This window comes from Homo sapiens, chromosome 19 (assembly GCF_000001405.40).
Source record: "Homo sapiens chromosome 19, GRCh38.p14 Primary Assembly".
NCBI lineage: Eukaryota > Metazoa > Chordata > Mammalia > Primates > Hominidae > Homo > Homo sapiens.
In genome coordinates this window covers 5,131,667-5,154,545 of record NC_000019.10, presented here as the reverse complement: position 1 = coordinate 5,154,545, position 22,879 = coordinate 5,131,667, and the positions used below count along the sequence as shown (strand labels likewise).

General features: G+C 61.3%; 1 protein-coding gene across 8 annotated transcripts in view, besides 6 other annotated features; it reads right to left on the bottom strand.

Moving 5' to 3' along the window:
• Nucleotides 80–580: an enhancer, noted in NCBI's record as "H3K4me1 hESC enhancer chr19:5153977-5154477 (GRCh37/hg19 assembly coordinates)". NCBI's record gives its function as "activates a minimal SCP1, AML or CMV promoter by ChIP-STARR-seq in primed H9 embryonic stem cells {active_cell/tissue: H9 hESC(primed)}" and the evidence as "EXISTENCE:reporter gene assay evidence [ECO:0000049][PMID:30033119]".
• Nucleotides 263–322: a silencer, noted in NCBI's record as "silent region_9919". NCBI's record gives its function as "represses an Ori minimal core promoter by ATAC-STARR-seq in GM12878 lymphoblastoid cells {active_cell/tissue: GM12878}" and the evidence as "EXISTENCE:reporter gene assay evidence [ECO:0000049][PMID:35858748]".
• The window catches only part of KDM4B (lysine demethylase 4B), a 184,486-nt gene continuing 162,554 nt past the window's right edge, over nt 948–22,879 (bottom strand). For all 8 annotated transcript variants that reach the window (XM_005259521.5, NM_015015.3, XM_011527814.3 and 5 more), the window contains 11 exons: nt 22,539–22,659; nt 20,485–20,663; nt 18,985–19,207; nt 17,208–17,284; nt 16,870–16,925; nt 16,476–16,584; nt 10,394–10,579; nt 10,134–10,298; nt 9,644–9,763; nt 4,096–4,188; nt 948–3,211 (listed from right to left, as the gene is read on the bottom strand). In XM_005259521.5, coding sequence (XP_005259578.2) covers nt 3,035–3,211; nt 4,096–4,188; nt 9,644–9,763; nt 10,134–10,298; nt 10,394–10,579; nt 16,476–16,584; nt 16,870–16,925; nt 17,208–17,284; nt 18,985–19,207; nt 20,485–20,663; nt 22,539–22,659 — 1,506 coding nt within the window. In that variant the 3' untranslated portion in view covers nt 948–3,034. The remainder of the gene's footprint in view (nt 3,212–4,095; nt 4,189–9,643; nt 9,764–10,133; nt 10,299–10,393; nt 10,580–16,475; nt 16,585–16,869; nt 16,926–17,207; nt 17,285–18,984; nt 19,208–20,484; nt 20,664–22,538; nt 22,660–22,879) is intronic.
• Nucleotides 2,511–3,282: an enhancer, noted in NCBI's record as "H3K27ac-H3K4me1 hESC enhancer chr19:5151275-5152046 (GRCh37/hg19 assembly coordinates)". NCBI's record gives its function as "activates a minimal SCP1, AML or CMV promoter by ChIP-STARR-seq in naive H9 embryonic stem cells {active_cell/tissue: H9 hESC(naive)}" and the evidence as "EXISTENCE:reporter gene assay evidence [ECO:0000049][PMID:30033119]".
• Nucleotides 15,181–15,280: an enhancer, noted in NCBI's record as "active region_13797". NCBI's record gives its function as "activates an Ori minimal core promoter by ATAC-STARR-seq in GM12878 lymphoblastoid cells {active_cell/tissue: GM12878}" and the evidence as "EXISTENCE:reporter gene assay evidence [ECO:0000049][PMID:35858748]".
• Nucleotides 16,303–16,802: an enhancer, noted in NCBI's record as "H3K4me1 hESC enhancer chr19:5137755-5138254 (GRCh37/hg19 assembly coordinates)". NCBI's record gives its function as "activates a minimal SCP1, AML or CMV promoter by ChIP-STARR-seq in primed H9 embryonic stem cells {active_cell/tissue: H9 hESC(primed)}" and the evidence as "EXISTENCE:reporter gene assay evidence [ECO:0000049][PMID:30033119]".
• Nucleotides 16,803–17,304: an enhancer, noted in NCBI's record as "H3K4me1 hESC enhancer chr19:5137253-5137754 (GRCh37/hg19 assembly coordinates)". NCBI's record gives its function as "activates a minimal SCP1, AML or CMV promoter by ChIP-STARR-seq in primed H9 embryonic stem cells {active_cell/tissue: H9 hESC(primed)}" and the evidence as "EXISTENCE:reporter gene assay evidence [ECO:0000049][PMID:30033119]".

Here is a 22,879-nt window from a genome sequence, read left to right as displayed (position 1 = left end):
CCCAGACCCAGCACCTTCACCTGGACGTCTGGTGTTCAAATCCAACCCCCTCCCAGCTCAACGCCTCCTTCCAGGGGCTCGGGTGATCTGCGAATCCTATTGGCTCTGCACTGAAAATGCATCCAGAATCCACCCACTTCTCACTACACCTGACCCCTGCCCTGGTCCCTAGCTTCTGCCCTTACCCCGTCTCCTCCCCACAGCAATCACCAGAGGGCGCCTGTGAGCACCTGAGTCAGGGCCCATCCCTCCCCTGCCCACACCCCTCCATGGCTCCCACCTCCCTCAGGGTCAAAGCCCAAGTCCTTCCCGAGACCCACAAGGGCCTGCACACCCTGCCTCCCCTCCTCCCCCTCTCCCCTGCCTCCCTCTGCTCCAGCCACAGGGGCCTCTTCATGTTCTTGCCGCACACCAGGCACAGGAGGGTCACCTCCCTGAGGGAGGCTCAGGTCTCCCGTGTCCCCTCTGCCGACTCCAGGCCTGGTGGGGCTGGGCACTGAGTGACCCAGGCCAGGACTGCTGGGTCCCAGTGGCCATCCAGGGCCGTGAGCCCCAGCGCCTAGCACGTCTGCCAGCCACCACCACCACAAGCAATGCTCTCGGGGCTCAGATGTAACCAGAACCGGATGGGGGACAGGGACAGGGCAGCTGCTGGCTGGGACGAGTGAGGCCAGGGCCAGGCCTCCAGAGAACTGAGGGGGAATCATGGGGTCCGCTGCCCCAGCCACCCAGCCTGGCCACAGCATGAGGGGCATGACAGCTGCCCCTGGGTGTGTGGGGGTGTGTTGGGGACCCTGGAGAGTGGGAGGGGAGGGACATCCAGCTCTGGAAGCAAACCTTCTCCCGGGAGAACGGGGCGCAGGCAGCCCCACCCCAGGGAGGCCCCAACATCAGTCCCCCTAGCACAGGCTCAGAAATGAAGACACTTGCCGGGGCATGGAACGGGGTTTCGCAGCGTTCATGAACCTTTAATTCATTATGAACCTAGAGGCAGGGACATTAGGCAAAAAATACAGCGTATCCTTCATCTCGGGTGGGGAAAAACCAGGGCACTGGGTTTTGCCGCGTCTTTGCACAGAGTAAGACACAGAGATACCTTCGTGGGGAGAGTGTGCAGCTCCGGCCTGCCCTTCTGTGGCCCATCTGCGCAGGCCGCCCAGGAGCCCACCAGGGGATGGGTGTGACCCCCAAGGGACAAGGGCAGCAGGGGCACCCGCCCGCTTCTTTACAATATAAATAGCATTTTCAAACAACATAAGAATACAGTGTCAGCGCCACGCCGGGCGAGGGCTGCGTGCAGAGGGACACCTCCACGTTTTGGCTGACACCCCCCAACCTCCCCGACCCCGGCCCTCTCCAGGGCAACCGCCCCCCTCCCCCACCAAGGAAATGAAAGGCTTGCTCCTGCGTAACACTCTCTCTGTTTTCCTTAGTCCTCTCTAGCCCGGGGACTGTTAGGACACTCTTTTATAATATAAACATTGCTTTTTTTTTTTTTTGGAGACAGGGTCTCGCTCTGTTGCCCAGGCTGGAGTGCAGTGGTGCAATCTGAGCTGACTGCAGCCTCAACCTCCTGGACTCAAGCAATCCTCCCACCACAGCCTCCCGAGTAGCTGGGACCACAGGTGCGCACCACCACACCTAGCTAATTTGTAAAAAATTTGTAGTGATGGGGTCTTGCTATATAGCCCAGGCTGGTCCCAAACTCCTGCCTCAGCCATTTTTTGTTTTTAATATAAGCAAATTATCTCCTCCATCCCTCCCTGGGGCAGGAGACAGCTAAGGTGGGGAAGGCTCCCCAGAGGGGTGCAGAGCTGGTGAGGGAGAGGCACCTGGAGAAGGCGCTTCCCAGCCTGGGCTGAAGGCCGTTTTTTCTCTATCAGCTCAACCCACTCCTAAGAAGCAGATTCCCCTCAGGTGACAGCAGCGTGGGTGGGTGGAGCGAGGACACCAGGCCTCGTCCCTGCCCGGAAGCAGGCGAAAGGGGCCCCGAAGGCCTGCCTCGGCCCTGTGTCCCCCGACCTGCTCAGGGTTGTACCCGAAGAGCTGGGAAGCTGTCCACACTCACTACCAACCAGAAGGGCCTGGGGGCCTCCCTCATCCTGAGCCATAGGAGGTGCAGGGGTGCTTTGTCTGCAAGGAAGCCTCTGGAACACCTGCGTTTCTCTCAGGTGAGAGAAACAAAGATAGACAAACCCCAGGAGAGAGTTTATTCTGCAAAGGTGGGCGCAGACGGAGGGAGGCCCCAGACCCCCGGGCTTCCCCTGGCCAGGTGCACAGGGGCGGCCACCAGAGAGCCTGGGCCTCCTCCCAGCAGGCACAGAGTGGGCACAGGCACTGGCACCAGACCATCAAAGCCCAGGAGCCGGGGTGAGGCGAGAGCGAGGCCGTGAGTGACCGGGCTGTGCCGAAACCGGGGCGTCCTGCCCCCCCCCCGAGGCTCACCCTCCAATTACCGGGTCTCTTTCCCTGCCTGGTCTGTAGCCAAATCATAATATTTTAAAACAACAACAAAAAAACAGCGAGATGCTCTGACCTCTCAGAGAATCCTGGTTCTGAGAAAAACAATGTGTTTGTTTTGTTTTGTTTTTCTTAAAGCCACAAATCTAGAAAACAACTTTGGGGATATTTTCCTTTGTTTTCCTTTTTTTCTTGCTTTTTTTTAAACAATATGTATTTATAGAAAGAGCCTCACAAAGGTGGTTTATGTACAGAAGTGACAATCTCAAAGGTTGCTCAGTAGGGCATTGCAGTAGCACCTTTTCGAGAAGAAGAGAGCTTACATGGTTTAAAATTCTGAGTAGTTGAGTGGGGTGCTCCCCTGGCCGGCCCCCGAGCCCGCCTGGCCCTGCTCCCTGAGTCTGGGGCCGCGTGCGGCGTCCCGCTGGCTCCTGTCGCCCTAGGGGGCACCCGCGGCTTGGAGGTGGCCTCTCGGGGGTCGGGGACACGAGGACAGGAATTCACAGCAAGCGAACGCCCGGGGCATGCCATGGCCTCCCCGCCGGGCTGAGGGTCGCCTGAGCGGCCAGCTGTCCTAGAAGGGGGCTCCGGGCCGGCCCTGCACCTGCAGGAGGCTCTCCACGAAGGCCACGTAGTCCTGGCTCCGCCCGGAGTCCTCCGTGGCAAGCGGGGTGCCCACACGCGGGCGCTTGGCGGCCTTGGCCTCCTCCCCCGAGAAGGCGGGCTCCTGCGGTGCCCCCGTGCTCAGTGACTGCGGGAGAGCGGAAGCACAGTGGTTAGCACGGTGGAGACACTCTGTGCGGCCCCAGCCACTGTCTATGGCCTCTGAGAGGAGCTGGCTGGACACAGAGCCCTGATTGCTGTGGGGGCTGCTCAGCAGGCTCCTGTTTTCGTGTTTGTAAACCCCTGATCCTGCCAGCAGAGGGGCCCTGCACTCGGCCCCAGCCTCTGGCCCCCTAGTGGGGTGGGCACCCTGGCTGGGGCTGGGACCGTCCATCTGGCAGCTCCCATCTGTTTTCCGAGGGACCCCTCTGCGGCTGAGCAGCTGTGGCCAGGACCAGGAACCTCCCCCACGGGCTCTGCCCCTCAACACCTCGCCTCTCGCCTCTCGATTAGAAAGAGAATAAAGGAAGCCCATGAGGGCTGGGGGAGCGAAAGCTGGAGCTGCCTCCGCTGCCTCCAGGACTCAGGCTCCCGTTTAATAAGGAAAAACCTCAGGAAAAGCTTTTTTAAGCCGACAACTGGGGTGCCCGTACTTCGCCTGTACCCCAAAACCTGTGATGGTTCAGAGGCCGCCCTGTGCAGGGTGGGGCAGCGCGGGTCCTGCAGGGCACAGGGGGCTGGGAGGGTCTGTTCTGCATTCGTGATAAGGGGAGGGGCGGGGCTTCTCCAACCCTCCCTCCCCACATTAACGGCATCGCCCAGGAGCTGCGGCACCAGGAGTCAAGGCAAAGGAAGGGTCTCCTGCCAGGAGCCCATGGACCAGCTGTGCTGGGGCGGCCGGGACCCCCTTCCAGCAGAGGTGCAAGAGGAGGGGGTGGTCCACGCCATTGGAAGACGCAGTCTGTGCCCTGCCTCGTCCCAGACGGGCTCCCTGAGTCACCCGGAGCCACCAGGCCAGCCTCGCGCACTCACCAGCCGAGAGCGGACCCTCTTGGGCAGCTCCTCCTCCAGGGTGAAGATGTCCCCACGCTTCACCGTCAGCTGGGACCCGTCCTCAAACTCCACCTGCAGGGGGATGTGGCTCTCAGGGGCCTGGCACTGCCAGGATGGCAGGTGCTCCAGGCAGGCCACGGCCTCAAGAGCTGGGAGGCCAGCCCCCTTGGGTGCATGGGGCCCGCTAGAGGCCACATGCAGCCAAGCTGAAGCTCATGTCCACCTCTGACACCGCCTGCAGCAAACAAGGATCAGGCTGAGGGTCCCGTACCACGGGGCAAGGATGACGGAGGACGGGACAGCCTGGGGCAGAGGCAGGGCCCCGCAGCTTCCACATGGAGACAGAACACTCACCCCTCACCTCCTCCCAGCTCAAAAGACATCTGTCTCCATGAAGACACAGCCCCAGGACAAGGTGACAGAGTCACTGGTGGACACAGAGCCAGGCAGGAGGCGCAGTGCCCTAACAGGGCCTGGGAGGCAGGGGAGGCCGGACAGGCGGACTCAGGGGCCTGAGCTCAGGAGCCCCCAACCAGAAGGTGAAGGACAGGGTCCCTGGCTTATGTGTGGCCCTCTGAAAACAGCTCAGTCACCTCTTCCCTTCAACTCAGAGAAAAATCACCCCCTTCCAGCCTCCCCAGCTGGTGCCTTGTTCCAGGTGGCAGATGCCTGACTGGTGAGGGGCACTGGGAGCACCCCGCTTCCTCCTCGTTAAGCTTGGTGCCAGCTCAGGCTCGCGGAGACTCTCTCAGGGGCCCTCTGGCAACACAACACTGTCCCATGAAGGGCGTGCCAGGGAGGGGCGTGTCTCCAGGCCCACCTCATAACTGCGATGGGCGCCGTGTTCCCAAGCCAGGAAAGGTGCTGGGGTCACTCCCTGGGCCTGACTGCCGTTCTGCTCCAGGGGGAGAAGGTTCCCATATCAGAGGGCTCGCTTTTCACATTTAAAAACTCAAAACAAGCCAGGCATGGTGGCATGTGCCTGTGGTCCCAGCTACCCAGGAGGCTGAGGTGGAGGCTGTAGTGAGCTCTAATTATGTCACTGCACTCCAGGCTGGGTGACAGATCAAGACCCCGTCTCAAAATGAACAAAATGCACACATAAGACTGTCACAGAAGCGTACAAAAGTCACACACTAAGACCATGACGGAAGTGTATAAAAGTCACACAGTAAGACCATCGCGGAAGTGTGTCTGGGGCTAGACGCCCCACGTAGTGTGCAGCGGGGGGGCCCGGGATCGCAGCACCTCCCTCTCCAAGGGAGCACAGACCCTGCCTTGGGGCAGCCAAGCCTGCCGGTCCCTGTGACTCCTCCAGGGATGGGTGGGGATGGAGACAGACGTAGGCCCTGGAGCAAGTGTCTGCTGTGGGTTCCACATGCCTCTTGGCCGGCGCAGGCGGCGGGAGAAGCAGGGCTGGGAGTGCCCAGTGTGGACTCTCAGATGGCCGGTTGCCTCTGGGCCGTGTCCTGGGACGACAGCACACATCTCTCGGGGATGTGTGGAGGAGCCTGCTGGGAACCAAGGACATGGGTGCCACCCTCTGCCCCGTCCTACCCATCTCATTTGTAGAGGAAAGCCACCGGGAGAAGGCCCCTTCCCAGCGTCTGTCCGGTGAGGAGAGTCTGGGTGAAGGAGTCCTAGTGTCGGAGCCCCAGCACCCCGGAAAGCGATTTCCACCCCCGGCGTGGCCAGGCTCCGCTTTGCCACGGGCAGCAGCGGGTTTTGGAGGCTCCGCTTTGCCAAGGGCAGCAGCGGGTTTTGGAGGCTCCGCTTTGCCACGGGCAGCAGCGGGTTTTAGAGCTCCCACTGCAGGAGTCCCAGGGCCCACCTGCTGCCTTTCCCCAGCTCCCCGGCCCCGACTCGGCCTCTCGGCTTCTGGCAGGCGTGGCACACAGTGATTCAGTCAGGCACAGAAGCAGCCTTGCCAGGAGGGGAAGGCGCGTTCTAGAAACTCAGTGGAAACTGGCTCAGGTTTCTGGGTCAGGAAGACTGCAGAGATCCGCCCCAGATTCTCAGGAGCACAGAACCGCCTAGGAGGATGGCGCTCACACTGCCGGGTCCAAGTGGGCTCCAGGGAAACTTCTGTGCCTGGGTCATTTGGGAACTGGGGGCTGACTGGAGACTCAGGCTGATTTCCTCCCAGTGGCCTCCCTGGAACGTGCTTTCACTATGAGTCTCCACAGGGCGAGTTCTGAAGGCGGCGTTTGCTTTTTAACATTTTGAGAAAACTGGATATACTTGCAGCTACAGGAAATCAGAGGCGTGCGCCTCGGCCCGGGCTCCCTGTGGTGACGTCTTGCCCGGCACGTCTCAGAAGCATCTCGAGGGGTCACGTGCGAGGGAAACATGTTCCAAGTGTTCCGGACAGGCGGGGAGGCTCTTGGGGCCTTGGCATGTGGGGGTCTCAGCCACTCGGCCTCGCTGTCACCTGGGCCCACCCCAGCCACCCGCCCCGCTGACCAGGCCCTTGGCCTCGGGGCAGGCAGCTCCAGCCCCATCTCCTTGGCCACCACACAGCGGGCGTTTGCATGATTGTGTGATCGAGGTCCTGCCGCCACCTCGCAGGCAGGCGCGCACTCCACGGTGGCTTGCTGGCTTCCGATACCACCCATTCCTGATTCCACAGCCTCTGCCCCCCCGCCCCGAGCACTCTGGAAATGTGACTTTTTTTTTTTTTTTTTTTTGAGACAGGGCTTTGTTTCATCACCCGGGTTGGAGTGCAGTGGCGCGATCTTGGATCACTGAATCCTCAACCTCCCAGGCTCAAGTGATCCTCCCACCTCAGCTTCCCAAGTAGCTGGGACTAAAGGTGCGTGCCACCATGCCCAGCTAATTTTGTTTTTTTGTAGAGACAGGGTTTTGCTGCGTTGCCCAGGCTGGTCTCGAACCCCTGTGCTCAAGCGCTCTGCCCACCTCAGCCTCCCACAGTGCTGCGATCACAGCATGAGCCCCCGCGCCTGGCTGGCATCATCTCATTTCTGACTGTCTCATTAGCTCGGCTTCCTTGAGGTGAGCTCCCCTGACGCTGGCCCTGCCTGGGCTCTGGTGACATGACAATGATCCTGGGAGCACTTCCTTCGCCACCAGGGTGGGGGCTGCGTCAGCGCCTCTTCTGTGGGATGTTGTCAAGACCCACCCTGAGTCTCCCTTGTCATTTTCCACCACAGTTGTGCTCTGTGTACGTTATAAATGGCTATTTATCTATTTGTGTGTTTTCTATCATCTCCATAGGTTTCTTGAGGGAGGGAGAGAGACTGGCACATGCTCAGCCTGATCTCTGGAGTAAACTTCCATGGTGTTCTAGAGGTCCTGGCTCAACCTCCCCTCCTCGGAGTCCAGTCCGACCTGCCTGGGCCAGACTCTGAGGCTCCCGGGGCAGGCGGAGGGTGTTGTCACTGTCACACAGACCCCACCCATCCTGCCGTGTACTAGATGCACCAGAATGCTTCCCAGCAGAGTTTTTGTTTTTTTTTTTTTTTTTTTTTTTGGAGACAGGGTCTCAGTGTCACCCAAGCTGGAGTACAGTGGCTCAATTACAGCTCACTGCATCCTCGACCTCCTGGGTTCAAGCGATCCTCCCACCTCAGCATCCCGAGTAGCTGAGACTACACGCGCACACTACCATGCCCAGCTAATTTTTAAAATTTTTTGTAGAGATTGTGGGGGGGGGGGGGGTCTCACTTTGTTGCCCAGGCTGGTCTCGAACTCTTAGCCTCAAGTGATCCTCCTGCCTCGGCCTCCCAAAGTGCTGGGATTACAGGTGTGAACCACCGCGCCCAGCCCACCTGAAACTCATAACCTGAGAGAAGAGCTGCCAGGTGAGCTGAGCAGGGATTATTCTCTTTTGCTGCTGCCTGGGATGGGCTAAGGGGTGCAAATCGACCTTGCCCTTGGTCTAAGCCTAACACAATCAGGAAGTCCAAGGAGCTGCCTGAGCCTCCCCCCAGGGAAGGCTGGAGCTGAGCAGAAGTGACAGTGTCTGGAGATTGGTGGTAGCTCCCACAGGGCTGGCCATGGGGATGGCTTGTCCCCGAAACCACCCCCTTCTCAAGGAGCAGGGAAGACCCTGCAAGGTCCGAGAGTGGTGACCGGGTGGGGCCAGCCTGCATGGCAAGGAGGTCCTGGATGCTCAGTGACAGGTCGAGAGTGGTGACTGGGCGGGGCCGGCCTGCACGGCGGAGCGGGGGGGGTCCTGGATGCTCAGTGACAGGTCCGAGAGCAGTGACCGGGCGGGGCCGGCCTGCATGGCAAGGCGGTCCTGGATGCTCAGTGACAGGTTGAGAGTGGTGACTGGGCGGGGTCGGCCTGCACGGCCGGGGGTGGGGGTCCTGGATGCTCAGTGACAGGTCCGAGAGTGGTGACCGGGCGGGGCCGGCCTGCACGGCGGGGGGTAGGGGTGGTCCTGGGCACTCAGTGACACTCGATCATTTCAGTTCATTCAGGTCTGGCGGGAGATGCGGGCGGGACCTTTCCTTAATGCGGCCTCGGGACCATCGCAGGGGTTAGGGTTTTCACCTTAACCGACGTGGTAAAGAGCTGAACTCCGATGTTTACAAAGAACTTGGGGCTCGGGGTGCGAGCTAAGGCCAGGACGTCACCGACTGACCCGCCGCGTGACCCGAGGTGACTCTGAGTGAGGCTTCGTTTCCACTCCTCAAATGGGGCAGATGTGACTGGAAGAGACAAGCTGTCGCCTCCTCCCGGGAGCCTCGAGCCAGGGGAGCTCAAGGGAAGTGCGGCACCAGGCTTGGGAGCGACGCTTCTAGCTGCTGGGATATGGGCAGCTCTCCTCCTAAAATTCCACGCTTTTATTTCATTTAATTAATTAATTAATTTTTTGAGGCTGAGTCTCGCTCTGTCACCCAGGCTGGAGTGTGGAGTGCAGTGGTGTGATCTCGGCTCACTGCAAACTCTGCCTCCCGGGTTCAAGCGATTCTCCTGCCTCAGCCTCCCGAGCAGCTGGGACTACAGGTGCCTGTCACTAAGCCCAGCTAATTTTTGTATTTTTAGTAGAGACAGGGTTTCACCATGTTGGCCAGGCTGGTCTTGAACTCCTGACCTCAAGTGATCCACCTGCCTCGGCCTCCCAAAATGTTGGGATTACAGGGGTGAGCCACCGTGCCCGGTCTAAGATTCCACACTTTTAAATAATTCCTCTTCCACAGTCATGAGAAGAAACTCACTACCAATTTGATTAAAAAAAAAAAAACCCAGGGGTACTGAGCTGTACACTCCAAAACGGTGAAAGGGAGAACTTATGTTAAGAAAAATTGAGAAGGTGTCTCAAAGGGAAATGTCACCCGAGTGGAGGCCCCTTTAGCTTTGAAAACAAACAAGCCCTGTGCTTCTAACTTAGGCAGGCGAGCCAAGGCTCAGCTGGGTCCTGCGGGCCTCACTAACCATGGCCCACACCCGCCAGTGCCCCAGGCAAAGGCACCTGGGCCAGGGGTGTGATCCTCCTGTCCCCGCACCTACAAGAAGAGCTTGGTGAAGGCATGGCGCGGCTGCCAGATCCCCCGCTTACCTGGTAGATGTGGCTGGTGACGGAGGAGATGAACTTGGCCTTGTAGAGGTTGCCGTCAGTCCACCGGAGCTCCACCAGCTCCCCCTCGGAAGGGGGTCCCAGCTGGACACAGTCCCTACTCTGCAGGGAGAAGAGGTGGGAGGTGAGGTCCTGGCCACACTACGCTGGGGGCTGTCGCTGGGTTTTAGACCCTCTCCGCGCTGGCAAGTGAGGTTCTCTGCCTGAAGCCCCAAAGCTGGCTGCGGGGGCCCGGGGTAGCGGGGCGGTGCAGAGCCCTGGCTGCGGGTCGCTTTCTGCTGAACAGTGAGCGGTGCTTTTCCTGAAGGGGCCTGGGGCCCTGAGGACAAGGGGACCCCATGAAGGGATCTGGAGTCAGGCCACTCCTAGCTTCCCCCCGCCCACCCCCACAGCTCACCGTGATGCTCTCAGGGTACAGGTTGTCGCTGTGCTCCCAGCCTCCCCCCGCCCCCTGCCCCACCCCACAGCTCACCGTGATGCTCTCAGGGTACAGGTTGTCGCTGTAGGAGCCATCGTCGAAGTTCACTTCGTAGCAGGTCTGCGAGGCGGCACCGATGACGCGACAGCGGTAGTACAGCCCGTTGCGGTTCTTGGTGATGACCACCTGGCCTAGGGACACGGCCCTCAGGAGTTGGACCTGGGAGGGTGCGGAGGGTGTGGGGGGCGGTCAGCGCGGGTGTCGGTGGGGGCGGGAGCCAGGGGCTGGGGGCAAGGAGGCGGGCAGGCACTCACAGCGTGACCCCCCGACTTGTGCTTGAGGCAGGTGATGGAGACCACATAGGGCCAGTCGTCCGGCTCCATGAGCACGCCTGCGGCGTGGGCGCAGGTCACGTGGAAGGACGTGGAGCAGTGCTCGTAGGAGCACTGGATACAGGCACCTGACACCTTCTTCATCCGCTTCCGGCAGTACACGCATTTCTGGGGATGGGGACACAGGCAGGGGCATGGGGCTCGAGCTTCCCTAGGGACCCTGGAACGGAGTCCCCGGCCCCTCCCGGCACAGCCTTCAAGGGAGGCATCGCGGGAGTGGCCCTGCGCTCTGCCCAGTGAGGGTTCCCCTCCACAGCCCAGAGCCCGCAGCCTCCCTGGCCAAGCCCTCCAGACCCACTGACCCAGCCTCCTGCTGCTCAGCCTCTGGGGAGTCCTCTCCCATCCCCCCTGCATGTCACTGGCTGCTGGGACAGATCAGCCCCCGGGGAGTCCTCTCCCGTCCCCCTGCGTGTCACTGACTGCTGGGACAGACACTGAAGAGCCCCACGTGGTGTCGCTCAGCCAGAGGAACCACGTGGCGACAGAGATGTGCCCTGGGGACACAGAGGTGAGTGCAGACCATGTGACCCCGTGTTCTGCAACCCCCAGGGCAGGCCACCCCCAGACACAGGAAGTGGGCTCGTGGGCACAGGGTAGGGGATGGGAGCGACTGGTAATGGGGCCCATTCTTCATGGGGTGATGAACTGTTCTGGAATTAGACGGTGTGATAGTTGGCACAACTCAGAATGTACTAAAAAACATAGAGTGGCACACTTTAGAATGGTTAGAGTGAAGGATTTTTTCTTTTTTTTTTTGAGCCTGGGTGCTCTGTCACCCAGGCTGGAGCACACGGCGCGATCATAGCTCACTGCGGTCTCCAACTCCTGGGCTCAAGCAATCCTCCCACCTCAGCCTCCTGAGTAGCTGGGACCACAGGTGCAACCATCATGCCTGGCTAATTTTTGACTTTTGTAGAGGTGGAGTCTTGCTATATTGTCCAGGCTGCTCTCAAACTCCTGAGCTCAAGGGATCCTCCCGCCTTGACCTCCTAAAGTGCTGGGATTACAGGCGTGAGCCATCGCGCAGGTCCTTTACATCGGCTTTTAATAAGAAGCCCTGAGAGAAGCCTCCTTGGTGAGGAGGGAGCACCGGAGAGCCACCTTTCATCCCTTGAGGCTCCCGCTGCAACACCTGCCCGAGCCAGCACCGGGGCCCTGGCGGCCGCCACACCCACGCCAGGCCCAGCTAAGCATTTAATAAGCGGCACCGTCACCACTCTATAAACCACGTTCAAAAGCCAGATAAGCCAAGGGCCTGGAGCAGGGCCGATCGACGGCATCGAGATCTCGTTATTAAACTGTAAATACCCAATTCTCCCATCACACAACACGCGCCAGGCATCACTCCAGCACGGCCTCCCCCTCCGGCAGAGTAGCCAGTGTGTAGGAGTGGAGGCTGTGCTCCCTGGGGAGCCTGGGGGTGGGGGAGAGGCCCCACCTGGACACTGTCAGGTGGGGTTGCTGAGCCGTCTTGAACACGTCACCCACAGGCCTCCACCCCTCGGCCCAGGCCCAGGAGAAACCCAGCCCCGGGGCAGGCTGGTGCCCAGCACCATCCCCTTCCGCCTCGTGGTAGCAGGCAGCCCATGACCCTGCATCTCCACGTTGTGAAAAGCGTGCCCCCGGACCCATGGGACCATTTGTCAGGAGCTGTGCCTGGGGCCGAGGTTGCCCAGAGCCACCCCTACTAAGGCGAGGTCCAGTCACGCCACGCGCTGTGGCCACAGGAGGTCGGGCAGGCGTTCTTGGCCGTCACCTCCCTTCCTGGGAGCCGCAGTTTGAAGACCCACATCCAGTGCTGGCCTGGCCCAGGCCAGTGTGTGCCGGGGAGTCAGGGTCTACGGCCCGTGGGGGGCCTGGAAGGGCCCAGGCACTGGTGTTTGGTTCGAAGTTCCCGGCTCGGTGTCCTTCCTCGGAGGCCACAGGGCTGTGAGGACGACGCGGGTGGGCTTCAGAGGTCTGCAGAGCACCACGGCCTGGAGGAAGCAGGTGGTCACCGCTAGGTACCACCCATGAAGCTGTGTCCTCAGCCTGTCACACACTGAGGCGCAGTGGCTGTCCACCAACCTGCTTTCGCAAACAACCCCAACCCCTGAGGAGCAGAGAGCCCCTCCCTCCTGACCGAGCCCTACCCCTCCAGGCAGGACTGTGGGCAGTGGAGAGAGCTGGTGCAACTGCCCACCCCTCCTGCTGCCCTGGAGGCGCCTCCCCCCATCCCAAGCCCCTCCCAGACCTCCCAGATCCTCCAGGGAGCTCCCGGTGCTTTTGCCTGCTGCCAGGAACCTGCCCAGCCGGTAGGTGAGAAGCTTCTCAGCAGCACGGCCTTGAGAACGTGGTGATAACTTGGCCCAGGCGGGCGGCCAGCCGGAGCCCCCTGACTCACCAGGACTGCCTGGAGCCCTGAGCCGGTGGCTGGAGAAGTCCTGGAGACAAACTGACGGATGGGTAACCAGGAGTGAGTGCCCCATGCCTGCAGCCTGCCCGTGGCCCGCGAAGGTGGCTGGGCGGTTGGGCGAGCAGGAATTAACCGCCGCCTCCTTGCAAAGCCCCATTAAGCAGTACAAGCGGGCCTCGTGTAAAAGGATTTTTAATTCATCGTTACAAGCACCGGTAATGAAGAGGCTGCGTTCTGGAAATGTCAGATGATCCATAAGGCGTCGGGCAGGAGGACTTATCACTGCACCACGCATCGCACCATCACTCCACCTGAATCATGAGGCCTTTTACGCCCACGTTTGTGGACTGAGTCACTGGTGCCTCGGAAGCATCACCCGCGGGCTGCCGGCTTCCTAATCGCCTGGCCGTGCCCGGCCAGGCCGGCGTGACCCACTGCACACTCCACTCCACGAACAAGGAAAGAGGGCTCCCCTTCCAGATGAGCCTCTGTGACTGCCTGCACAGCCCTGCCCAGGTGGCCCAGCACCTGTGGGCTCCAAGCATGGCATCCAAGCCCGCCGGGCTCGTGGGCACCTCGCACCAGTGCATGGGAGCCCGGGCTTTGTGGCCGGCATCAGTCCCACCCTTGTGGTCTCCCCAGCAGACCCACCCTGCCAGACTGATCTGTCTGCTTCCAGCCCCACCTCCACGCAAGCCTGAATGTCAACACCAGGCACTGTGTCCGCGGCTGGGAAGATAAACCAGGCAGGAAAAGCAGGCAGGACGCTGCTGGGTGCTACTGGCTGCGGGCCCAGCCTCCAGGGGCCCACGAGACACGTGTGCAGAGGCCGGAGTGCACAGGGACAAATGCGTCCTCCCCATCAGCGCTGCCACATGCACAGCCCTTAGTGGGGACGCGGCCCCAGCAACATCTGCATTTTGCTCTCCTCATCTTTTTTTTTTTGAGACAGAGTCTTACTCTGTCGCCCAGGCTGGAGTGCAGTGGCGCAATCTCAGCTCACTGCAACCTCCGCCGCCCAGGTTCAAGCAATTCTCCCGCCTTAGTCTCCCGAGTAGCTGGGATCACAGGCACGTCCCGCCATGCAGAGCTAAGTTTTGCATTTTCAGTAGAGACGGGGTTTCATATGTTGGCCAGGCTGGTCTCGAACTCCTGACCTCAGGAGATCGACCCGCCTCGGCCTCCCAAAGTGCTGGGATTACAGGCATGAGCCACCAGGCCTGGCCTCCTCATCTTCTTTCTGGGCCAGGTCCCAAGGCTCTGCAGGAAGCTGATTTAAAGGGCCAGCTGAGTGTCATTTTCCAGCAGGCGTGGACAGCCCCAAGTGCCTTGTGCGCAGGTGGGCTACAGGGTGTGCAGCAGACAGCCCTGCAGGGCTGCAGCCCAGGCCATGATCGGCCAAGCCCCTCCAGGCCCCAGGCTCCTCACCTGCAGAACAGACAGTGCAGGATGACCCCACAGGCTCTCACTGTGTGGATCAAATGCAGTAGGTGACACTGGGGGCCTGGGGGAGCGAGGCTGCAGATTTGACAAGCCCTGAGCAGCTGCTAGTGCTCAGACAGGGTGGTCCATGCTTTAGGGAGTGGGCCCAGCTCACACCACTGCAACCCTGCATGGCGGGGACTGTGGCAACCCCACAGCACAGAAGGGACGGCCGAGGCACAGAGAGGTCGAGGAATCTGTCCCAAGTGCACAGCCAGCTGGTGGCCAGCACTGACCACTCCTGACTGCCCTGTGGCTCCAAGGGGTTCCCCAAAGGGGGGCCATCATTGCTGAGAGCAGGAGGAAGCTTCACAAGCCCCCACGATGAGGCCCCGCTACGCCCAAGGTGGCTGCGCGCATCTACGGGGGGCCTCAATGTGCACCAAGAGTGGAGCAGCAGAGATCCTCCAACTCAACCACAAAAGGCCAAGCAACCCAGGCACGGAATGGGCGAAGGAGCAGAACAGACGTTTCTCCAAAGACGGCATGCAGATGGCCAACAGGACTGTGCAAAGATGCCCAGCGTCACTGACCGCCAGGAGAACACAAATCAAACCATAGCGAGACCACCTCGCACCTGCTAGGGCGGCTGCTACAAAAAAGTCAAAGGTAGGTGTGAGTGAGGACGAGGGGAAGGGGAAAGCCCTGCACCCGGGGGGTGCGGATGGGAGTCCGTCCAGCCGCAAGGGAGAGCAGTTTCCTCCAGTGCTAAAAACAGAGCTGCCCGACGGTCCAGCAAGCCCACTGCTGGGTCTGTATCCACAGGAAATGACATCAGAATCTCCAAACCACAACCACACTCCCACATCCGCTGCGGCGCAACCCACAACAGCCTGAAGGCAGAGACATCGGCGGGTGCCCGGATCAACACAACGTCGTCCATCCACATGGTGGCACATCACTGAGCCAGGAAAAGAAGGAACTCCTGCCATATTTGGGTTGAATGAATGTGGATGAACCTTGAGGAAACTATGCCAAATGAAAGACACCACTCGCGCCTGTAATCCCAGCTACCCAGGAGGCCAAGGCAGGAAGATCTCAAGGCCAGGAGTTCCAAACCAGCCTGGGCAACATAGTGAGACCCCATCTTTTAAAAAAAAATTGGGAGTTAACCTAACTTTTTGGCACGTGCTTGTGGTCCCAGCTACTCAGGAGGCTGAGGCGGGATGATCGCTTGAGCCCAGGAGTTTGAGGCTGCAGAGAGCTGTGATCACACCACTGCACTCCAGCCTGGGTAACAGAGTGAGAGACCCTGTCTCTTAAGAAAGAAGCCGGTCGCAGAAGAATAAAGACTGTACAATCCCACTCACGTGGGGTCTATAACACAGGCAAACACACAGAAGCAGAGTGCTGGGTGCTGGGGTGGGCGGAGGGAGCTGCTGCTTAGCACGTGTGAAGTGTCAGTTATACAGGACGGGTGAGCGGGCCGCAGAGCCCTGCTGCCCACCACTGGGCCCGTGGTGAATGCTGTACTGAACCTCAGATGCTTCTTAAGAGGGCAGATCTCACGCTAAGCATTGTTACAATTGTTTGTTTTTTTTTGAGACAGTGCCTGGCTCTGTTGTCTAGGCTGCAGTGTAATGGTGCCATCACAGCTCACTGCAGCCTGGGTATCCCGGGCTCAGGCGATCCTCCCACCTCAGCCTCCCGAGTAGCTGGGACCACAGGTGTGTGCCACCACGCCCAGCTAGTGTTTTTTATTTTTTTTATAGAGATGGGGTCTCATCGTGTTGCCCAGGCTTGTTATAATTATTAGAAAAACAGCAAAGATCAGACAGCCCGGTTGTGTCGGGGCACGTGCGGTGCCTCTGCTTTTGTGGGAAGGTGGAAACTGCATGGGGTGCTCGATTCTGCAGAGGATGCCCCCAAGGCCACACCTGACGGGGCCTGCTTATCTCTGCCACCCTTGATGCCTTCTGATTTTTGTACCTTGCACCTCGGGGAAGGATTCAAAAAATAACACACCTGCTGAAGTCGGGATCACTGGCTTCCTGAAAGCTGCCCACCACCCCCATGGAGACGCAGAGCTTGGAGGAAAGACCGCTTCAGATCGCGCAGGTGGGGAGCCGAGCATGGCCGGCAGCCCTAGAGGCACGGGCAGGGTGGGCCTCGACCGCAAGGACCTACCAGCTTCCACCGCTGCTCGGGGATGGCGCTGATGTCCACAGGGTGGCGCTCAATCACGTTCAGGAAGCGCGCCTCGGGGACTGCGATGGCACAGATCACGTGGATCCACCTGGGAGGGCAGGTGCAGCGGGGTCAGGTGCGCCTCTGAGGACCTGGGCTGGTCACAGAGGGGCTGGGCGTGATGTGGCTGTCGGCTGGGTCAGGGCCTGGGGAACTTCAGGAAGGTCGGTGCAGGCGTATGCTCCTCCTCAGCCCTGGCCACCCCATCCATGACACAGGGCGGTTATGTGGAGGTGATGGTCAACCCCTAGGCACTGGGGTCACACCCTGCAGAGCCTCAGCCCAGGGCAGGCTCCCCTCCGGCCCTCCAGCCCCAACGCGCGGTGCCACCCACCTCCTATCGGTGGTCATCTGCAGCGCACCTCCTCGCAGGTTGCACAGGCAGCACTCCTGTGGAGACCAGACAGCCCTGGATGAGCAGGGCTCGGAGCAGGCTCCCCACACACTGCTTGGGGCCTGATCTGCCAACCGTCCCCAGCCCACGGCCCTTATATTTCAACCTAGCAGCCACCAAAGTGACGGGTGGGAATCCCTTGGGTTCCACCCCCTCAGGGCAGAGGTGAAGGAACCCAGGCCCACGGAGGGGAGACTACGCCCCAAAGTCACCCCACTGGAGTGGGGCCGGGGCCCAGGCCTCTCAGAGCACCACCCCCGCTGCGGGGAGCGAGTTACCGCAGTCCAGGCGTGGGCCGCGCACCGGGAACACGTCCAGCCTTCATTGACCAGCTCGGGACGGATGCCATAGCAACCTGGAAGACAGCGGGGGCTGGCTGAGATCTGGGGGGCAGGTGAGACTTGGGGAGCCGAGTGAAACTCAGGGGGAGGGGCCGGGTAACTTGGGGGCCAGTGTCCGTATGTGGAGTGACGAGGCCTCCGCACGCAGCTGCAGCATTCAGGGTGCGTGCTGTTCCCACCCTCTGAGCTTCAATCCAGGCCACTGCATGTGGAGCGAGAGAAAGGTCTGGAAGCTACTTGTGTGGAAAGAGGACGCAGGAGGGGAAGCAGGGACCCTGAGCTCCAGCTGGGTCTGCCGCGCTCAGCCTGGTGGTGTCTTGAGGGCCCCTCCTTGTTGGGTGTCTGCACCCCCAACAGCAGCTCCTCCTGCTATGTCCAGAAAGGCCAAAGCCGCAAGGGAGACTCACTGTGGGATGTGGCCCTGGGTCTGGAAATGGGGAAAGGGCACAAAAGGCCGAATCATGCCCCCAGAGCGAGGGCAGGGGTGCCGCCTGCCCCCCAGGGCTCTGCCTCTGCTGGGGATCACTGCCCCCAGTGTGGAAGGGGCTCTCTGCCAGTGCTGATGGCCCACTGAAGAGGCTGGGGGCGGGGACCTCACTGCCTCCAGAGCAGCAGGGTGGTGGGCACGGCTGGGGGTGGGGGCGTCTGCTGGGGTAGCCTGGCTGGGGCGGCCCGGCTGTGGCAGGCCTGGGACCCTCGGCAACCCTTCCCCCAGGGAGCCCATCTGCCCCGGGGGCACATCTCAAACCCAGGCCCAGCAAAGCAGAGTGAAGAGCCTCCCAGCCAGGAGACAACGCGAGCCCCCAGGCAGGCCACCGCCAGGAGGAAACCGACACAGATCTATGGCTGCCAGGGGCACAGAAAATTAAACGTCTCCAGAGAGCCCTCCTCCTTCCCTGAAAGTCCAATTCCTGCCACCGCCCCCCCGTGCGTGGGAAAGAGACAGACATCCATTTTCTTGTCTGTGACCATGGTCGAGCCTCAGGACTGGGGAGGGGTCCCTGAGAGCAGAGATAAATCAGACGCCCTGACCACGCTGCAATCTCACTGTGACCATCAGTTTCAACCACAGCCACAAATCACAGGCGTAGCGGCTGCCTGAGTTCCTCCTGTCGCCTCCCAGGCCTTGGAGAAGACTCGGCAGAACTGTCCAGAGGGCCAGTGAGGAGGAACCCTGCCTGGGCCAAGGTCAAGGGCAGGGATGTTTGCCCCCAAAGGCTGCTTGGCAGAGACAGCCATTCTCAGGGAACACAGCCTGCGGAGAGACGGGGTGCCTGGCCCATTTCTTGCTCTGGCCCTAGGGTGAGCTTCTGGGTGTCAGGGACAGGGTGGGATGAGCCCAGTGCCCCTTGGAGCAGAGGCTTCCTCCGCAGAGGCTGGCACCAGAGGCCAGCACCTGGGCCTGCACTGGCATCTTCTGGATGCTGGGGGCGGTGGAGGCCCTGTCCTGCCCCAGGGTGGCATGCGGTCATCCAGCCCTTCCATGGCCACAGCCTTTCCCCCTGCTCTAGATGGTGGGACCACAACGGGAAGGATGAGAAAGTCAGAAATTGCAGGAAGTCACCGGGGGAGGCCCCTGCCCTGGCCCTGAAAGTGCAGCCTGGGGAGAGGGGCCGGTGTGGCCCTCCGCAGGGGAGGATGGAGCCCCCACCGGCACCCCCACCAACACCCTGAAGGAGGGCGCAGCTCCTCTGGGCCCCACAGTGGCACTCACTGGCATGGACCTGCAGGCAGCACTTGCCGCAGGCGATCAGGGGGCTGGTCCCGTCGTCGCCGATGTAGGAGTTGGCAGGCAGCGGCTCCGTGTTCTCACCGCCAGAGGTGAAGCACATCTCAGGGATGAGCGGTCGGGTCTTCTGACGGCTTTTGGAGGGTAATGTGGCCGGGCAGCCCTCTCCGAGGGAGGCTATGGGTGCCTCCTTCTCAGTCTGTAGGGCCTGTAGGGGAGAGGCGACCTTCAGGGGACAGAGCCATGTGTGGGGCAGGCGGGCGGGCGGCGCGGACCTCTCTCAGGGCACCTGCCCCAGGCTTCGACACCCCCTGGCTCTGGAGGGGGAGGTCGGGGAGATGGCCAGAGCCACCTCGGCCCCTCTTCTCACTCCTCCAGAAAGTCAGGATCCCCAAACACTGTCTGACCCTGTCCCCAACCCGCCGAAGACCTTCCCATGAGGGTTGCATCCAGACACAGAGCTCAGGCTGGCCTGTGTGGCCCCTGGTGCTGGGTGGCCCCTGGCGCTGGGGTATGCTGGGGGTGGTGTGTGATGAACGAGTCTCCACACTCTGCCTGGCAAGGGGAATTAGGAAGACGCATGTCTGAAGTGGCATTCCAGGCCCTGTGGCTCCCAGCAGCCTCTCTGGCCTCACAAAGGACAGCAAGTGCCTGGAGACGGTGTCGGCTGTCAGGTCTTGTTTGTCTCAGGAACCAGAGCACTAAATCCAGCTCCCAGCAGCAGAGCCCCAAGACAGGCTCACCACCCTCGGCACAGCACTCTCCCTGGCTCTGTCCACCCAGACCCGGCCGGCGCACAGGCCTGGGGGGTGACGTCCCCAACCCAGGGCAGCTCTGCTGATGCCTGGACATGCTTGGCATGGGGCTAGGAGCTGGGAGTGCAAAGCATGTGGCCAGGTCCTGTCCTGGGGAGGCTGCATGCCCAGGGGAAGAGAGAAGGGGGGATCTAAGAGATCCGAGGAAAACGGCTGGGCTGGGTGCTGATGCCTGGGATGGCCGTGGGCAGAGGCCAGCTCCCCATCTGGGTGCAGAGGACAGGCGAGGCCAGCATGGAAAGAGCACCAGAAACAGGACCTTAGCCAGGTGCCCAGCTCAGCTAGACAGGCCAGGGTTTGCGGGAGCCCCGCCCGGCCACCCAGGTGGTGTACCTGGGCCTTCACTGCACTCCCACACCACCCGGCCCATCTCAGCGCCCACCAGACACGGGCGCTCCCTGAGGGCAGTGACCCCGAGCCTCCGCAGCCTCCCTCTGCCCCATCCACCATGGCTCATGTTGCACATGGGCACGTTAGTAAGCTTCATTCCAATAAAACCCAGAGACCAGGCTCTGCCTACGGCTGTCAGGAACAAGCCCTCACAACTCGGGGTGCTGGCCAACACCCTGCCCTGCGTGAGAGAGGGAGGCGTGTGGGGTGCCCGGTCCCTCGCCCTCTCCCACCGCCCCTGCCTGGGGTTCTCTGGGACCCGTGAGGCCCGCCTGCCCACCTGGCAGTAGGGGTAGAAGAGCGTGCAGATGGCGCAGTAGGGCTCCGTGCGCGCAGCCGCTGCGTTGAACTTCCTCTCGGCCTGGAAGCTGGCCGCCCTGTTCTTCCACTGCAGAGACAGCAGCGGCCTCAAGGCGTCCGGGTCACTCACATCTTCCTCCCCGGAGAAAGGGGATGCCTCTAGAAGAACAGAGGGGAGAGGGAGAGAGACACTTGAGCCCCCTAAAAACTCGTCCAAGGAATCACCCCAACTGCCCAGGGGATGGCCCCGGGTCTACAGCCCTGGCTGCCCACAGGGTCCCTGGCCCATAGCTCCCCCTCCACCTGCCTCCTGGCTGCCCCATTCTCCACAATGCCCATCAAGCTGACACTGCAGCGTCCCATCCCATCAACAGGAGGGGGACACGTCTGTCTCGGCTGACTGCCACCTGAGGCCAGAGCCCCCAAACATGGTTCCTCTGAGCCCCTCCCCCAACACCTGGTTCTCCCTGGACATCCAGAGCCGTCCACTCACCCAGGGCCTTCTGGGCCAAGGACTGGCCAAACTCAGTGCCCAGCCCTGCCCCGGCTGCCCTACACCCGTCCTGGGGTCTGAGTCTGAGTGGGGGCGTCGGCAGTGACCAGCCGAGACTCAGAGACACTGTCCTTCCTGTCTTAGGTGGGCACAGACTCACTGAACTCAAGGGAGGTGCCAGAGGAGTGCGACAGGGAGTCAGGAGGGGCCGTGACCAGGGCTAGGAAGCCAAGGCAGCCCGCCCCAGGAAGAGCTGCGTGACGGGGACACTCTCCCGGAAGGCAGGTCTGCTGCTGAGAAGCCGCGGCGGTCTCTCTCCCACCTGTTGCCTGTTCCCATTGAACTCTAATGGCCTCCATTGCCAGCTGCCGCACCCCAATCTCCCCACGTCCCCTCCCTGCATCTCCTGTGGACACAGGGGTGCTGTCCCCAGGAAGTGGGGTGCCCACTCCTGTGGCCCAATCCTCAGCCCAACCTAAAGGGGAGCCTGGGGTCCTGGGATCAGCCCAGCTGTGGCACTGCCCCTGGTTCACCTAGAGGAGGGCAGGGCAGGGCAGGGCAGGCTCCCCGAGGTGGAGGCCCAGGTCTCCCATGGTGGACTCAGGAAGCCCTTAGGCCAAGACTCCTCTGAAAACCCAAACCAGACAGTACCGCCAGCGGAGCCCAGGGAAGGCCCTAAGCGGCCCCGAGGCCCTGGGGATGAGAACAGAGCCACTGGCTGCGTCTGTCACTCACAACCCCAGAATGCCTGGGGTTCTGGGGCCGTGATGGTCTCACAGGCAAATGCTCCGGTCTCACCAAAGGGTCACAGTGGGGTGTGGGGAGTGGGGGAGTCCACGGAGGCCCCAGAGATGCCTTCTGGAAGGATACCTGGGTAGAAGGCAAGACCCCTTCCCAAGCCAGCCCGCGGGGGCCCCTGGTCATTCCTCTGTCCCCGTGCCGATTCCTCCACTCCTGGGAGCTCCCGCCCTGTGATCCCACGCGCTTCTAGAACCCTCCTCTCCCCACCCCTCCAATTGCATGCAGGATGAAAGACGCCATCCAGACCATTTTCAGATTCTACATGCATCCCCAATGAAAGGCCGAAGCAGAAGTTGAAAAACTGGCTTAGCAGGACTTCTGCACACAAGACAGCAGCTCTCGGCTGAGGGTTAAATCGAAGATTCCATCTCCTCCCCTCCCACTCAAAGCTTCGCGGGAGCCTTTTGTTCCAACCTCTCCAAGTCCTGGAGAGGCCTGTGCTCAGCCCTGGGAGGAATCTTCCATGGGGAGGTACAAGCTCCCCAGCCCTGAACCGCCCATCATGGGCAGCCCAGCCAGCAGAGCAGAGCCGAGCATCTCTAACAGCAGCTGCCTCCCCGCACGACCACCTGCCCCAGTGACAGCCTGTCGCTACGGCAGAGCCACAGAAAGGCCTGGGTTCAGGGGAGGAGACCCAGGAAGTGGGGGAAGGAAGCCGCAGGGGAGCCAGGCCCCCCCTCCAGCAGCAGCAGAGCGCGGAGCAGGGCTGATGAGAGCCGACCTGGGGACCCCCCACTCACCCTCGTCACTTGAGGCCTCCTGCTTCACCACCGACAGTGGGGACCGGGTGGGCGGCCGGCCCAGGGGATGGCGCCGGCTCTTCTTGATCTCCATCTTCAATTTGGAAAATGTGGACGGTGCCTGAAACACACAACAGGCTGTAGTGAGGGCCCCGCTACAGACCCCTGGGTGGGGCTCCCTCGGAGCCACACAGGGGCTCGGCGTGCCTGAGGCCTGAGTCTCCTCTCCTGGGGTGACTGTCCCAGCAAAGAACCACAGGGCTCCTCTGTTCTCTAAGTACAGACACCCCACCTACCCTGTGAGAAGAGCCACAGTTCCCTGTGAAACCAGCAGTCAGCCC